General features: G+C 38.6%; 1 protein-coding gene across 13 annotated transcripts in view, besides 1 other annotated feature; it reads left to right on the top strand.

The window, feature by feature from the left end:
• GRIP1 (glutamate receptor interacting protein 1) overlaps positions 1–15221 on the top strand; it is a 721908-nt gene that overhangs the window by 279572 nt on the left and 427115 nt on the right. The window lies entirely within an intron of this gene.
• Positions 7081–7582: an enhancer, noted in NCBI's record as "NANOG hESC enhancer chr12:67175965-67176466 (GRCh37/hg19 assembly coordinates)". NCBI's record gives its function as "activates a minimal SCP1, AML or CMV promoter by ChIP-STARR-seq in primed H9 embryonic stem cells {active_cell/tissue: H9 hESC(primed)}" and the evidence as "EXISTENCE:reporter gene assay evidence [ECO:0000049][PMID:30033119]".

The following is a 15221-nucleotide window of genomic DNA, read 5'->3' as shown; positions in this document are numbered from 1 at the left end:
AGATGAAAGTATGAGAGTTTTATATTCAAGGGAGAAGTAATTCGGATTGCATGGTTTTGAAAAGAGTGATCAAAACAGCTATGTTTAGAATACAAATTTCAAATTTAAGGACATGTTTAAATAGTTAATGGAAAAAATTTTTTACATGACAGTAAACAGCAAATTAATTATGGACCATTATCTATTTGTACAGCAAAGTTTGTATATTATAGTTTTGGTAATAACCATTGCAATAATTATAATTTTATATTATTTTAAAATTTTACAATGCTATAACATACATTGTCCTTTTTGGTCTTTCTAGCCATCTTATAAGTTGATAAATTAGCTGTTGTTACTGTTATTCCTCATTTTATAGATGAGAAAACAAAAGCACTGAAAATTTAAATGGCTTATCCAGTGTCACACAACTAGTGAATACTGGCATTCCTCCTGATTCACTTATTTCCAAATCTTATGGGATTTTCTCCTCTCCTGAATGGACTTAGAGCTCTTTGAAACAAGCTGCCCATCCGACTTAATTCTCCTGTGCCTAGAACATTGCAGGTTCTCAATGTGTATTTGTAAAACAGATTCATCTAAACTAGAATGGAATTTCAAGTGTGAGCCTTTTTGTAAAGAATTTTACTACTCAAATACTATATTCTGTCAACCTAATAGAATTATGCTGTGACCTTGAATATACTGAAATTGCATTTTAAAGTCCTAAAAATAAAGTAATTGAGAGTTGTCTTGGAAAACATAACACAAAGGCAAAGGATAAGTATTTTATTGTTAATCTATTTAAGTTTAATTCCTTTCTATCAGTTATCTTTTGCTGCATGACAAATTACCCCAAAATTTGGCAGCTTAAAAAAACAAACATTTCTTCTCTCATAGTTTCTGTGGATCAGGAATACTGGTGCAGCTTAGCTGGATACTCGGGTTCATGGTCTCTCAGAAGGCTGTGACCAAAGTATAGGCTGGGGCTACAATCATCTCTCGGCTGGAATGGGGAGGGATCCCTTCTAAGCTCACCAACGTAGCTGCAGGCAGGATCCAAGTTCTAGATGGCTATTGTATGGAGATACCAGTTTTGTGAGGGCTTTTTCTCCCGGCAAATGCCCCTCTCCACTGAGCAGCTCAAACAAGGCAACTGGTCACTCTTAGAATAGGTGGGCCAGAGAGAGCAAGAAAGGGCATGCAAGACAAAAAAAACACAGTTTTTTTTTTTAAATTTAATTTCAGAAGTGACATCTCATCACTGTAGCCTTCTGTTCATTAGAAGAGAGTCATTAGGTCCAGTCTATACTCATGAGGAAGGGATTACATCTCCCTAGTATTCAACACTAGGAGGATACTAGGAGGTCTCAATCATTTGGGCCATCCGAATACTGCCTACCTTATTCATGTTAAATATTATTGTTCAACCATAGTAAACTCAAAGAAATAAAATTCCAGCAGACTGACCTCAACTGTGTCCAGACTTTTTAAGGGAAAGCTACAGAAGTGCAGCTCAAACTGGCTTTAGCTTAAAAAAAAAAAAAAGTATTTTATTTTTGTGTTTTTTGTATTTAACAAAAAAGAGTCTCAGTGTTGTCCCGATAGTAGGTGCAGCAGAATTCTGTTCTGTTCTCCATTGGCACTCAACTTTGCTTTCTAAATAGTCTTGAATGGATTCTATCAATCTGTCTTGTGCCCCATGACCACCCCTATGGCAGGGGTGTGTGAAATACTCCAGTTGACCAATCCTGGGTCACTTCCCCACCCCTGGAACCCGGAGAAAGTGACAGAAGCCAAAATCTAAATCATATGAACTCAGAGTGGAGGAAAGTAAACCTTGAGGTGCTGTGACCACAATAAGGCGCCTTGGCTGATGGTAGGCAGATCACTAAGGCCCACGGCACCCTTCTGTCACTCTTTAAGTCCCTACCTGTTCTAACTCATACAGTTTGCTTTTGGGGGGTATCTTAGTTCATTCAGGCTGCTGTAACAAAATACTATAGACTGGGTACCTTATAGACAACAGAAATGTATTTCTCATAGTTCTGGAGCTTGGGCATTCCAAGATCAAGGCACAGGTAGATTCGGTGTTGGGTGAGGGTCTGTTGCTCATAGATGGTGCCTTCTAGCTGTGTCCTTACATGACAGAAGGAACAAGGCAACACTCTGGGATCACTTTTATAAGGGCACTGATCCCATCCATGAAGCTGTGCCCTGCCCTCATGATCTAATCACCTCCCCAAGGCTTCACTTCTTAATACCATCATCACCTTAGGGTTTAGGATTTCAGCATATGAATTTGCAGGGGAGGGGGCACAGTGGAAGACACAGACATTCAACTCATAGCACTGGTGGACTTAAAGATGTACAGGATAACATCTTCTTTTGATGGCAGAAATGGGAAGAGAATTCTCCTCCTCAGTAAGAATTTTTGCTAAATATTGTTTAAAATCAATAGCAAAAGCTAAGCCACAGTTTTGCAATATGAGTGTGTCTTCTGGAAACAAACGTCCTAAACTTTCTGTGTAACCTTTAATTGTTAGTAGAACACATCCCCAGGACTGAATTCAGTTCATCTGTCTGGAGCTTTAGAATGAAAACAAAGCCTTATTACTGTGTTGACTTACAGAAAACACAGATGTGTGTGCACAGATAGTAATTGGGCTCAGCTGGGGCCATTTAGGGGTCAAATACTAGGTATCCAAGGTTACTTGTGCGTAAATTTAAACCTCATAAGCTGTAGTCACAGCTTTATAGCAGCTGGCTTGTTGTTTTGTTTTGGATTTCTTCTCCTTCCTCTCCAGCGCCCACTCTGCACCCCCACTTTCAGGTATCAAAAGGATTAGACCTGAGGGTCAGCTGTGGTTCTTTTTCAGAGAGAAAATAGAATTATTACATGGTTCTTAAGATTAAATTATATTGTATTAGGTCAGTGGCAAAAGCAAAGATCATTTGTTAAGCCTTAGTGCTGTTTTCCACCCTGCAGTCCCATATAAACTGGGTGTTGCTCAAGGCTCCTCTCGATAATGACTGTTGGCTTCTCCCCTTCCTAGTCATGTGAGGACCCTTGGGAGTCAGTATGTCTGGAGAGCCAATAGACCAAGGCTCTCATCATTCTCCCTCCAGCTGCAGCACCTCCCAGGCAGAGTATTTGGTGTTCCAGCAACATTCACCCTTGAGTGCTCACCAGTAGATACTGGGTAAAGCACTGGGGGCTGCTGGGAAAAGCAGACCATAGTCAGTGTCTGAGGATGAGACCAGAGATACATGGTTTGGGTTGGGGAGGAAGAGAAAGCAACAGCCTAACTAGTCTCAGGTTGAATGGCCATGAAGGTGAAGTTGCCTCCTGAAGCTGTCCCCAGCCCTGCTGCTGTCTTGCAGTTTGCTGTAAGACACGGTGCTGTTCCCTCCAGGTCTGTCCACCAACAAAGTTCTGTGGTATCCATGCATCTCATGTGTGTGGCCACTGTGCCAATCCAAATTCCTCTTTCCTCTATCTGACCATGTGTATTGATTTTTATTTTGCAAAATGTGGTTGTCATATCCATCTAGCAGAATGATTTTGATTTTCTACCCCCAACTCCAAATTCCTAGTCGTCTTCACCTTTTCCTCAACCCTTATTCCATTCAAAAAGCTATAATTTCAATACAAAAACTTAGTGTCACTTGCTAAACCAAATTGCTTTATTTTTATTTTTTTGTGTGACAGGATCTTGCTTTGTCACCCAGGCTAGAGTACAGTGGTGCAGTCATATCTCACTGTAGCCTCCATCTCCTGGGCTCAAGCAATCCTCCCACCTCAGCCTCCTGAATAGCTGGGACTATTGGTGCATGCCACCATGCCCGGCTAATTTTTAAATTTTTTTGTAGAGTTGGAGTCTCTCTATTTTGCCCAGGCTGGTCTCAAACTCCTGGCCTCAAGCAATCCTCCCACCTCAGCCTCCCAAAGTGCTGAGATTATAGGTGTGAGCCACCATGCCCAGCCCTGCTTTCCTTTTAAAGGTTACTTAAGTGTGTGATTGTCTGATAATCCAAGTTATTATTAATGAAGTTTTTGTTTTGTTTGGCTTTATTTTATTTGTTTTTGCTTATTAACCCAAATGAATCTCTAAATGATGGAATTTCAGGCAGAGTAAGAGAGAATTTTGGATTGGGTCACTTTACTACATTTGGCTAAGTATATTCTACTTAAATAAAAGGACACATTTTGATATGGGGAACTTGCAGCCTCTCCCACCCGAAATATTTCCATCGCCTCAACCTTTTTCTTTTTGAGACAGGGTCTTGCTGTGTTGCCAAGGCTGGAGTGCAGTGGCACAATCAGAGCTCACCACAGCTTCCATCCCCCAGGCTGAAGTGATCCCCCTGTGTCAGCCTCGTGAGCAGCTGGGACTATAGGAAAGTGCTACCATGCCCAACTAATATATATATATATATATATGTATGTATGTATGTATGTATGTATGTATGTATGTATGTTAAATTCTTGGAAGAGTCAGGGTTTCACCATGTTGCCCAGGCTGGTCTTGAACTCCTGAGCTCAAGCGATCTGCCCACCTCAGCCTCCCAAAGTGCTGGGATTACAGGCATGAGCCACCATGCCTGGCCCTCAACCTTTTTTCTTCAAGTAGCTCTTAACTTTTTTCTACTTCCCTCTTCTTATATCTACCTTTTTATTTGGAGTTCAAGGCCTATGGTGACCTAGTAAAATATTATTCAGTACAAGTCAGTGGAGTATGAAATTGATTTAAAAATCAGCTTTCAGATGTGATAAGAAAGAGAGCCAGAACACGGAAGGTAGTGGTAGTCCTACTGTACTCTGGGCTGGTCAGACCTCACAGGCAACATGTTATTTGCTTCAGGGAGATGTGGACAAACTGAAGCACTGCCAGAGAAGAATGACTAGACATATGAAAGGTGCATATGGCCTGACTGAAAGAACAGAAGGTGTCTATTCTGTTCAAGACGAGACTTTATAGAAAAATAACAGAGAGGAGGTTGGAGGTACAATAGTGCTAACATGCGTAACCCATGAGTATGCTTTGTGTGACTCTTAAAAACAAAGCTAAGACCAGGGAGTAGTTTTTAAAAAAGATTTTTTTTTCCTGAAAGCAGTAACATCTTTCCTGTGACCATGGTTAGTGATGCTATAGCAGGAATGTAAACATAAAAATTAGGATAGCAAATAGATTAGGTGCTAACTGCAGTCAACTGGTGGAAGCTGGCTTTAGAGGGTAGTCATTACGAGCATGGACATTGGATTAAAATGAGTCTGGCTTTCAATGCCACTCAGCCCCTGCCAACTGTTAAGCTAACTAACTCCTGATTCTCAGTGTCCACATCTCTAAAAGAGAATATAATATTACCTACCTCATTAGGATATTGTGAGGTTATAAAAATGAAATGATGCATGTGAAGAGGTTAGTACAGTGCTGTGCAAATAATAGATAATCAATGTTACTATTGGGAAATTCTGAGGTCAGAGGAATCTGTGTTTGTTGGGAAAGCAGGCCCTATCAATTAGTGATGTCTGCTGTGGGAGTGAAAGTAGGCCACGTATTTATCATCCTTGGGGTATAGCTGGATAAAGTGATCATTTATGCTCAATCCTCCTATTTTACTTTTCATGTAACATAGTTATCTACTTACAACTTAAAAAAAAATTAGAGGAAATATTGGCTTAAATTGGAGGCCTTCTCGTCCATTTTCCCTGCTGTCCCTCTGTTCTTAATTATATAAGTTTAAAATTATGACGATTATATGGAAAGTAAATACCATTTTTGTTCTTCTGTTAACCTTGATAGTCTTACAATATGAATGAATTGAAAGGAAATGCATTTTGCAATGCATGATGAATGAGCCTGCACTTCTTAAATGTCTCAGTTCTACTACAGGTTAGATATTTAGAAAGAATGTGAGGAAAATCAAATCTTAACGCAAGCTGTCTTTTGCCAAATATAATTTCTTATCTGAATTTTTTCATATTGAACTCAAACTTGAGTTCAATACTTGAGATAGTATTGAACTCAAAACTAGTATTTTTTTAGCACTTTAAGGTATAAGTGGTTACCTAGACTCTATTTAGAATACCTTATCTTAAATATCTGTGGATACTTAAGAAGAAAACTGTAAAATCGATGTGTTGGCCATGAATTTTTAACCCTGCTTATCAAATGTTGTTAAGAACATTGCCAAGGAAATAAAGATGTATCATTAAAGCATGTCATGTTTGCAAGATCATCTCTCTGAGTGTTGATTAACTCCTAGACCTTTAAGCACAGCCACCTCACTTATAAGTTGCTGCCAAGAGGAAAATGCGGGTGCCACTGGTTAGCCATTGTCAAATGGATGTATTTTTCTCAGATATGAATAAATGAGAACTGGACTGTGACACAGAAACAAACTATGCACTTTTTTTCCCCATGACATTATAATAATCAAGAAACAATGTGGCCAGGCATGGTGGCTCACGCCTGTAATCCAAACACTTTGGTAGGCTGAGATGGGCCAATCACATGAGGCCAGGAGTTCAAGACCAGCCTGGCCAACATGGCAAAACACATGTCTCTACTAAAACAGTACAAAAAGTAGCCAAGTGTGGTAATGCATGCCTGTAATCCTAGCTACTCAGGTAGCTGAGGCATAAGAATTGCTTGAACCCGGGAGGCAGAGGTTGCAGTGGGCCAAAATTGTGCCACTGCACTCCAGCCTGGGTGACAGAGTGTCTTAAAAAAAAAAAAGTACCTTTACTCATTTGCCTTTCAGCTGAGAAATATGGCAATGCACTATTAATTCAAAGAAGCAGTATTGCCCCTTGGTTAAAATCTCAGACTCCAGAGTGAGAAATGATCAGAATCCTGGCATCTCTACTTAACTGATTTTTAATTTTGTCAAAGTATGTTAACTTCTCTAACCATCTTCAGTTTCCTTCTCTGTAAAATGGAGATAACTGTTATACCTATCTATCATCTCTTGTGGAGAGGAGAGCAATAGGAAAACTTAGGCAGAGATTGTTACATAGCAAGCAGTAAGAGTAACTACCTTTGTAAATAGGAAAAATCTTTCATGAGTCAAGAGTACTGGGTTCTGATCCCAGCTTTGTCACTAACTACCTATGCAATTTGGGGCTATCATATCAGTTCTCTGAATCTTAGTTTCCATAACCAGAAGTGAAAGAAATTGATTGCATGATCTTGAAAATTACTTCCAATTCTAAAATACTATTCTGGTTAGCAGAAGCATTTAAAAACTCAAACTAAAACAAAAAGCCCCCTCCGTTTCTAATTGGTAGTTAATTATTTCAGTCTTTACTTAAACATTCCTTTATGTCAGGGAAAGACCTTTTGTTTTTCACCACTTCTATTTCCCCAGGAACTTCATTGCCTCCAGTTCCAGAGAAAGGTGTTAAGAAGAAAATTAACAACCACTTGCTACTGTGTGAACACTAACTGCTCTTAATTGCTTTCTTTAAGATAGCTTTCTGTTAATTGGGAGGGCTTGAAAATCCGATCTCAATCCGAATTCCTAATATCTCTTTATCAAACACAAACCTGTTCATTTCTATATAGGATTTTTATTGAAGTGTAACATTTATATAAAAAGTGCACAGATTCTAAGTGTACAACTTAATGAATTTTTAAGAAGTGAACATAACCATGTACCAGCATCCAGATCAAGAAGTAGAACATTAGCCAGCACCTCAAAATTCCCTTTATGCCTCTCCTTCTAGTCACTAATTCTTATCCAAGGTTAACCACCATCCTGATCTGGAATGTAATGTTATAGATTACTTTTGCATGTTTTTGAAGTTTATATAAATGAAATCATCATACGGTTAGTAGTCATTTCCATTGGTATATTTTGGAGTGGAATTGCTAGGTCATATAGTACATGCATATGTTCAGCTTTGATAGATATTGCCAAATAGTTTTCAAAAATGGCTATACCAATTTATACACCCTTCCCCTACCTAAGAAGGTTTCTGATTATCTGTTTTAAAACCTTCATGCAGCCTCCTATTTTGAATTAAGTTATACAGCTTTCTCTCCAATACCTGTATCTTCTACCTCAGTGATGCTTCACTTCAGTTTGCCTTGGACAGACTCTGGATATACCAAATTCATACCTATTGTTCTTGCATAATTATTATTAGTGCTCCTTTCATTTTCAATTTGTCCTAGGTTAGAGGGAGATGAAAAAAATTCTAAAATTAGATTGTGGAGATGTTTGCAGAACTCTATGAGTGTAATAAGAAAACATTGTGTATACTTTGCTTGGGTAATTTTTTTGGTATATGAACTGTATCTCAATAAAGCTGTTTTGATGATTTTTTCTAGTTTGGATGATAAATTATGTGGTCATTCTACTTAATCAATTTCTACCATTTGCAAATAAGTTACTTTAAAAAGGACAGAAAGAAAGATACCTAAATAAGCCTCACTGCTTCATTTGGAAAAACAAAAACAGACTTCCCCTGGCACAGTTTTTGAAGCATTTTCTAGCAAGAGATGCCATTGAAAGCAAGGGAAAATTGATTGTGCTACCCCAATCAATTAAGCTACTCTTTTGAAAGGGGAACCCTTCCACTGGGATTGAGTTTGTTTTATAATTTACCAAAAATTAAGACAACTTTTAAAGTAAGTGTACCTTATAAATGTTACCACGAGACAGAATATTTAATTAAAACTGTGGTATCGCCGTTACCTGCTGGGTAACAAACTCCCCTAGAACTCAGTGGTGAACAATAATCATTTTATCATGCTCTTGGCCTTTATGGGTCAGGGATTCAGATGGAGCACAGCAGACAGTTTGCCTGCTCCACGCTGTCTTGGGCCTCAGCTTAGTGTTAGCTGAAACCTCAGCTCAACTGTAGGTATTCTAGCACATGCAGGTATTCTAGTTGAGCCAGAATACCTACATGTGGCTTCTCTGCATGGGCTAGTTTGAGCTTTCTCACAGTATGACAGCTGGGTTCCAAGATAGAGTATTCCAAGAGGGCAAAGCGGCAGTGCATGGCATTTTTATGATCTGGCCTTAAAAGTCACATAAAGACACTTTTGCCATCCTCTGTTGATCAAGTCCCAAAATTCAGCCCAGATTCAAAGGGAGAGGATATAGACCTCATCACTCAATGGGAAAGGTGTCAAGGTGACACTGTAAACAGTACATGGGAGACATTGTGGGATGCTGCTTTGGAAAGTATGCCTTTCCTTTCATCTGGATCTTCTCTTTCCTCCATTGCTGTTGTTCCTGTCCTGATTAATTTTGATTCCACTCCCAGCAGTTTCTCCTCAATATGGGGTCCTGTCCTGGAAGGGAGCCCACCTGGTCAGATTCAAGAGTTCACAGGGGCAAGACTGCTACAGACATGGCCCCTTGGGTCTTGCCGTGAGCCCATAGCCCTCACTGGCTTTGACTTGGGTATTTTCAACCACTGTTACCAAACTGGCATGTAACACTCTCTAGTGAACACCTGCTGACTATTTGGAGGTTCTCCTGTTCCCGCATCCATCAGATGCCTGCTTGCTTCTCTCTGCTTTCTCTTGCACAAACACTGATTCCTGCTCTTCTTGGTAGCTTGTCCTCACTTGCTTATAATTTGGAGTTTGTGAGATACATCATCTCCGGGTTTGATGTATGTGTTGTCCTTAGGGTTTTGACCAACTAGTTGCTCTGTTTTTATGTGGGGACTTGGGAAAACCTCAAATTATGCTGCCACTACCACCAACATCTTACCCAAGTACACCCCAAATGAAATCCCACTCCATATCTCCCGCTCCTTCCCTGCCTCCTGATACATTCACCACACTAATTTTTATGTTCTTTAACTTTGCTTTAGGGCCTTTCAATTGGAATGTACTTCCTGAATATAGTCATGTGGCTGACCACTTCTTAATATGCAAATATCATTTTAAATGCCATGTCCTCAGACTTGACCTTCCTGTCTACAGTAGCTTCCCCATCATTCTCTACCACATTATTCCATTTTATTTTCACTACTGCACATATTATGTGATATTACTTGTTTACTGGGTCCCCCCAAAACACTATTATGTATGGAATGTTGTCTGTCTTGTTCAACACTGTATTCCCAGTACCTGTTACACAGATGTTCAATAAATATTAGTAGGTTGAATGAACGAATGAAAAGTGAATGACTAATCCAGGTTTCCCGATTGTATGATAACTATCATTATGATCTCTAAGCTGCTTTGTCTTGTGAACCTCAGCTTACTAAGAAGTGTTTCCATGTTTAATATTCTTTGATACAATAAACGTGTGACATTCATGAGGAATATGCCCAGAAGGTCTTCTTGTATCCACAAATTCACCAGTATTATAACATAAAATCTACCCCATAAAATGCAGTAAAGTGTAACTGAAAAATTTAAGTGACTCTTAATGGTTTTTTTTGAATACAGAACTAAAATCATTTCTAAAGCCATTAAAATAAATTCAGCCACTAAAATAAATGCTACACTACATTACACATGATTTTTATTTTCAAGAGGTTCTTATTATTCTGTTTGATGTCTTGTGGTTTGTCAGATAGTAAAGTCCAGCTTAATTTGAAAACCTGCCATATTGACCTGGAATAGGAAAGACAAATTGTCCTTGGGCAACTTAAATCTGATTTCAGTTTTTCTCCTTGAAATTATATGTTAACAAAGACATTTTCCTGAAGTATAGCACTTCATCTTTATTGAGCCGGTTTTCTGATTTCTCCATCTTTTCTTTGAATTTCTCTTTTTGGGGAAAAGTGCTCCCAAAGCTATGTGGCCAGCTAATGTGTTCTTCTCTTAATCTCACATTAACGGGATAGAGTTCTTCCTCACATTTTCAAATTTTGGCTAGAGGTGAGGTCAGTTCAGACTTCTCCTTCGTATCTTGATCACCTGTCACATCTGGACAGTGTTGGTACAAGCTCCACAGCTTTCCATTGATTCCCCTTTCCCTTTCCTATGTCTACTAAAGTTTTTACTACTGAGCAATTTTGCACGTATCGAATATATCAGACTGTTTACATATAGAAATGTCATAGATTGGAGCACCTCCAGCACTACACTGAAAATTAAATTATTCATTTCTTCATTTGACTCCAGTTTGTGTTTTTCTGTGCAAGATTTGTTTCTTTATAGGGTGTCTTTACATTCTTTTTTTGTCATAGGTAACACGGGCTACACAAACATGCAGAAAAACGACACTGTCTTACTGCTTGCTTGGTGGTAGGGCTCATGGTTTTATAGTAGCTTTATACACTATTTCCTCTAGAAACAAATCCAGCACTGTACCATTATATGGTTTACGTTTATGTAGCAAGTATCTTATATGCATTTATCTCCTTTAATTTCCACTATAATATTGTAGGGGATCATATCCCCATTTACTGGCAAAGGAAACTAAGGCTCAGAGAAGTTAAGTAAAAGCAAAGCTGGTTTTTAGTTCATGACTGCCTATCTATCTAACTTCAGAGTCTTTTTGCCACTTTTAATAATATGTCTGTGTGTGTGTGTGTAAAATTTCTTTTTGGAGAGATCGTTTTATTGTTCAATAGAAATATAATACAAATCACAAATTCAAGCTGCATATATGATTGTATATTCTACTGTAGCCACCTTTTAAAATGCCAAAAGAAACAGGTGAAATTAACTCTAATGATGTATTTTATTATACCAGTATATTGCAAATAGTATAATTTTACCATGCAATCCACATAAAAATTATTAGTAAGGTATTTTGCTTTCTTTATATTATTCTTCAAAATTTGGTGTGTATTTTACAGTTCATTTTGATGTGGACTAGCGTGTTTCAAGTGCTCATTAGCTATGAGTGGCTAGTGGCTACTATAATGGATTACACTGAGAGAGGGAGGGAAGGAGGGAGAAAGAAAGTAATAACATATAATAGGGTAAACATTGGCAAATAAGACTTCCTGTATTTCTGCATGCTTCTGATCTTCCCTTCTTTAGTCTTTCTTCTCAAAGTCAAACACAATTTCTTACATACTTTTTGGAGTTATTCTGTACTCAGGTAAAGTGTGTGTTCGTGTGTGTGTAGGTATGCATGCATGTGCATCTGCATGTATGTGTACATATATGTGTGGTCCATTCAATTCAACAAATGCTTATTGACAACCTACTATGTGCCACACACTTTTCTTGGGACTTGGTTACATCAGTAAACAGAACTGTTCAACACCCCTGCCTTCAAAGACTATATTTTAGAGGCAAGAGATAGATGATAAACATCTAAGTAAGTAAATTATATAGCAAGTGTGTTAGAAAGTCATAGGTACTGTGAATAAAAAGAAAAAGTAAAATTCTGTGTTGGGGGGCAGTTTCCATCACAAATAGGGTGCTCAGAGTAGACCTCATTAAGAAGGTGAGGTTTGCTCAATATCTTGAAGGATTCAAGGGGGTTAGTTACAGGTGAATCTCAGGGGGAAGGGTGTTCCAAGAGGAGGAGGGCAGCACCAAGACCAAGTTGGGAGGGTACCTGTCACATTTGAGGAGCAGAAGGCCAGTGTGGCTGGAGTGAGGCAAGAGAGGGGAACACAGCGTGAGTGAGGTCAGGGTGGGGAGTGCAGCAGATCCTGTGTGGCTTTGCCACTTTGTTGCACTTTCAAGGCTCCTGTCACCACTGAGCCTTTCACTCTGAGTGTAAGAAGGTCTGCTGTGTTCTGATTAGCAGCCACAAAGCATCCTGTGGTACAGAGGATGTATTTACCAGTCTTCTCTTGAGATGGATACTTAGGTTGTTTCTGACCTGTTTTTATCAGAACTACAAGACCGTGTATATATCCTGGAATCAACATATCTTTGCACATGTGTGTGATCTTATGTGCAGGATAAATTCCTAATAATGACAGCTACAATGTCTATTTTTAATTTTTCTAGATAATGCCAAGTTGCCTCTGAAAAAGCTGTACAAATGTATGTGATCCACAGTGTTTGGGAGTGATTGTTTTCCTGTTATCACTATGGCATTTCATCAACAATTTTACTTCTGCCAATCTAATAAGCAAAAGTATTCTCTTATTGGCGTCACTTTGAGCAATCACTCTGCACTCTAAATTATAAATAATGTAGATTCTACCCCGCTCTTCCTCTTCTCTGGGCTGTCAAATGGATTTGCACTTTACAGCGATTATAGCAAATATTGCTCTGTATTTACTTGTGCATGTCCTTGTGTTCCACTCTTTATTATAAGCTTCTTGAGAGCAGGGCTAACCTCTTATTTTTTTACACCCTCTCCCTTTGACTAGAACTTTGCTTAATTCTGTTTGAATTATGCTATATAATCCTATGTCATTAATTTACTAATTAAAGTTATTGTTATTCAGTGATTATTCAACTGTCGGTGAAAGTCTTTGATTTATTGTATTACCTACTCTTGACTGCTAGCTGAGAACAAGTACGTATTCTATCTTTAGTGTTCAGGATAGAAATAGTCAATTTGTTCTCTTATTTTTAATCCCTAAAGTAAGCATTTCTTTAAATATACAAAAACCTGAGTAGGACTGAATTGGATACCTATGTAGGTGACAGTAAATACAGTTAAACCAGGGTCCTGTCGCTTTATTTGCTTCTATCTGTTTTGTCATCTTGAAACTATGCAGCAATTTCTGGCCTGTAGCCTTGGGCATCTGGCTGCTGAGGTCATTAGGCCATTGACTATACCATCACTTAGTTTTCAGAATCTTTGAAATGTGATTTGCAACTGGATTTGGACAGAGGATTGTGTGCTGGGTCAGGAGTCTGAGCAGCCTTTCCTAGCCTGTGTTCCCAGAACGTGTGGGTCCCTGGAGATAGTAACAAATGTTCCATTTTGGCAATGCTATACTGTGTCTCCCTCCTCCTTGCACATAAGCATATTAAGCGTTTTGAGAAGCCCTGCGGGAAAGAAAACTCTTTATTCCAGTGTTTCTCAAATTGATTTGACCACAGAAAACCATTTTTCCCCCTAGTAACACCTATCAGTATATCACAGAATATCAATTTTCTGCACAGTAGAGTTGGAGAAAGAGCAGTTGTTTTTTCTCTGCTTTTTATTTTATACCAAATAGAGGTGAATTATATAACTTTATAAATAATTATTATTAAATATATTTAAAATTTTTATCTTCATCAAATGAAAGGTCTCTGTCCAGTTACAGGCTAGTTTATAGCTGATTGACCACAGAAATAGGCCACAGATGAAGTGAATATTTTTGTTTAGGATCTATTTTGTAATAGATTCCATCCCAGAACCAGTTAGATTAAAGCTAACATGACAAATGTTTAAAGCTAAAATTGACAAATGAAGATGATTTTAAAAAACCAGACCCAGCTATTAATTTCCTCTAACTATATTACATTTTCAGATACCTGAAATGTGGCCAGGGGAATGATTCTACAACTTCTACTGTGTTGTCAAAGATGCCAACTGATGACTCCTCTCACGTGTATTTTAAATTATGGAGATGTATTTAACAGACACTGTCAACTTTAATCTGCACATAGAAATTCTTAATTGTCCCAACCCCCTTTGTTTCAGCTTGTTTTTCAGGCTTTCTAATGCATTCACCTTGCTTCTTCCTATTCTCTCTCCTCCCTCTCTGTGCTCCTTAAAAACATCCACTAGGCTGGCAATTAGGGGCTGAGCACAGATGCATCCTTTAATTTAATTTCACATTCCATCATTTGAAACATGACCCAGTGTGTCTGCTTATGGCCTTCAGAGTGCTGGGAAATCAATATGTTAATTTACCTCCATCTTTCCAAATCATCTTTGCAAGCAAGCACCTGTGAAATGAGAGGCTTGCACAGGGGAGGGAGTGATTCTGTGTAAGAGACAGCCCCAAGTACCTGTATTCTCCCCCTCCCCCTCTTTGTTAATGAGCTATATTCTAAAGTATATTAGTAAATTGACTGTTCAGAACTTTGAATACTTTGTTTTCCTGATGAAAACTTGTTTATGGTCATTAGGATTCTAAGCCAGCCCTTAAAATCCCATGGACTGCCAGTGTATCTAAAGCACTCTCCAAACAGTACATTGAGGCTGCAATAGTACAAGTGTAGCTCCAGTCCCACTCTATCTTACTGGAATGATATTTCCATTCGTGTAGCCTATGGTTGCATTTCTTTTTATCATCCAGGTCATATTCTTGACTCATAGTTAGCTTGTGGTAAAAAGAAATCTCCAAAGTTTTTTCTACATCAAAGGCTCCAAAGTTAAGTCTACACCTCCCCACTTGCTTA

Source organism: Homo sapiens, chromosome 12, assembly GCF_000001405.40.
Source record: "Homo sapiens chromosome 12, GRCh38.p14 Primary Assembly".
In the NCBI taxonomy this organism is placed as follows: domain Eukaryota; kingdom Metazoa; phylum Chordata; class Mammalia; order Primates; family Hominidae; genus Homo; species Homo sapiens.
This window is presented reverse-complemented; position numbering and strand designations above follow the sequence as displayed.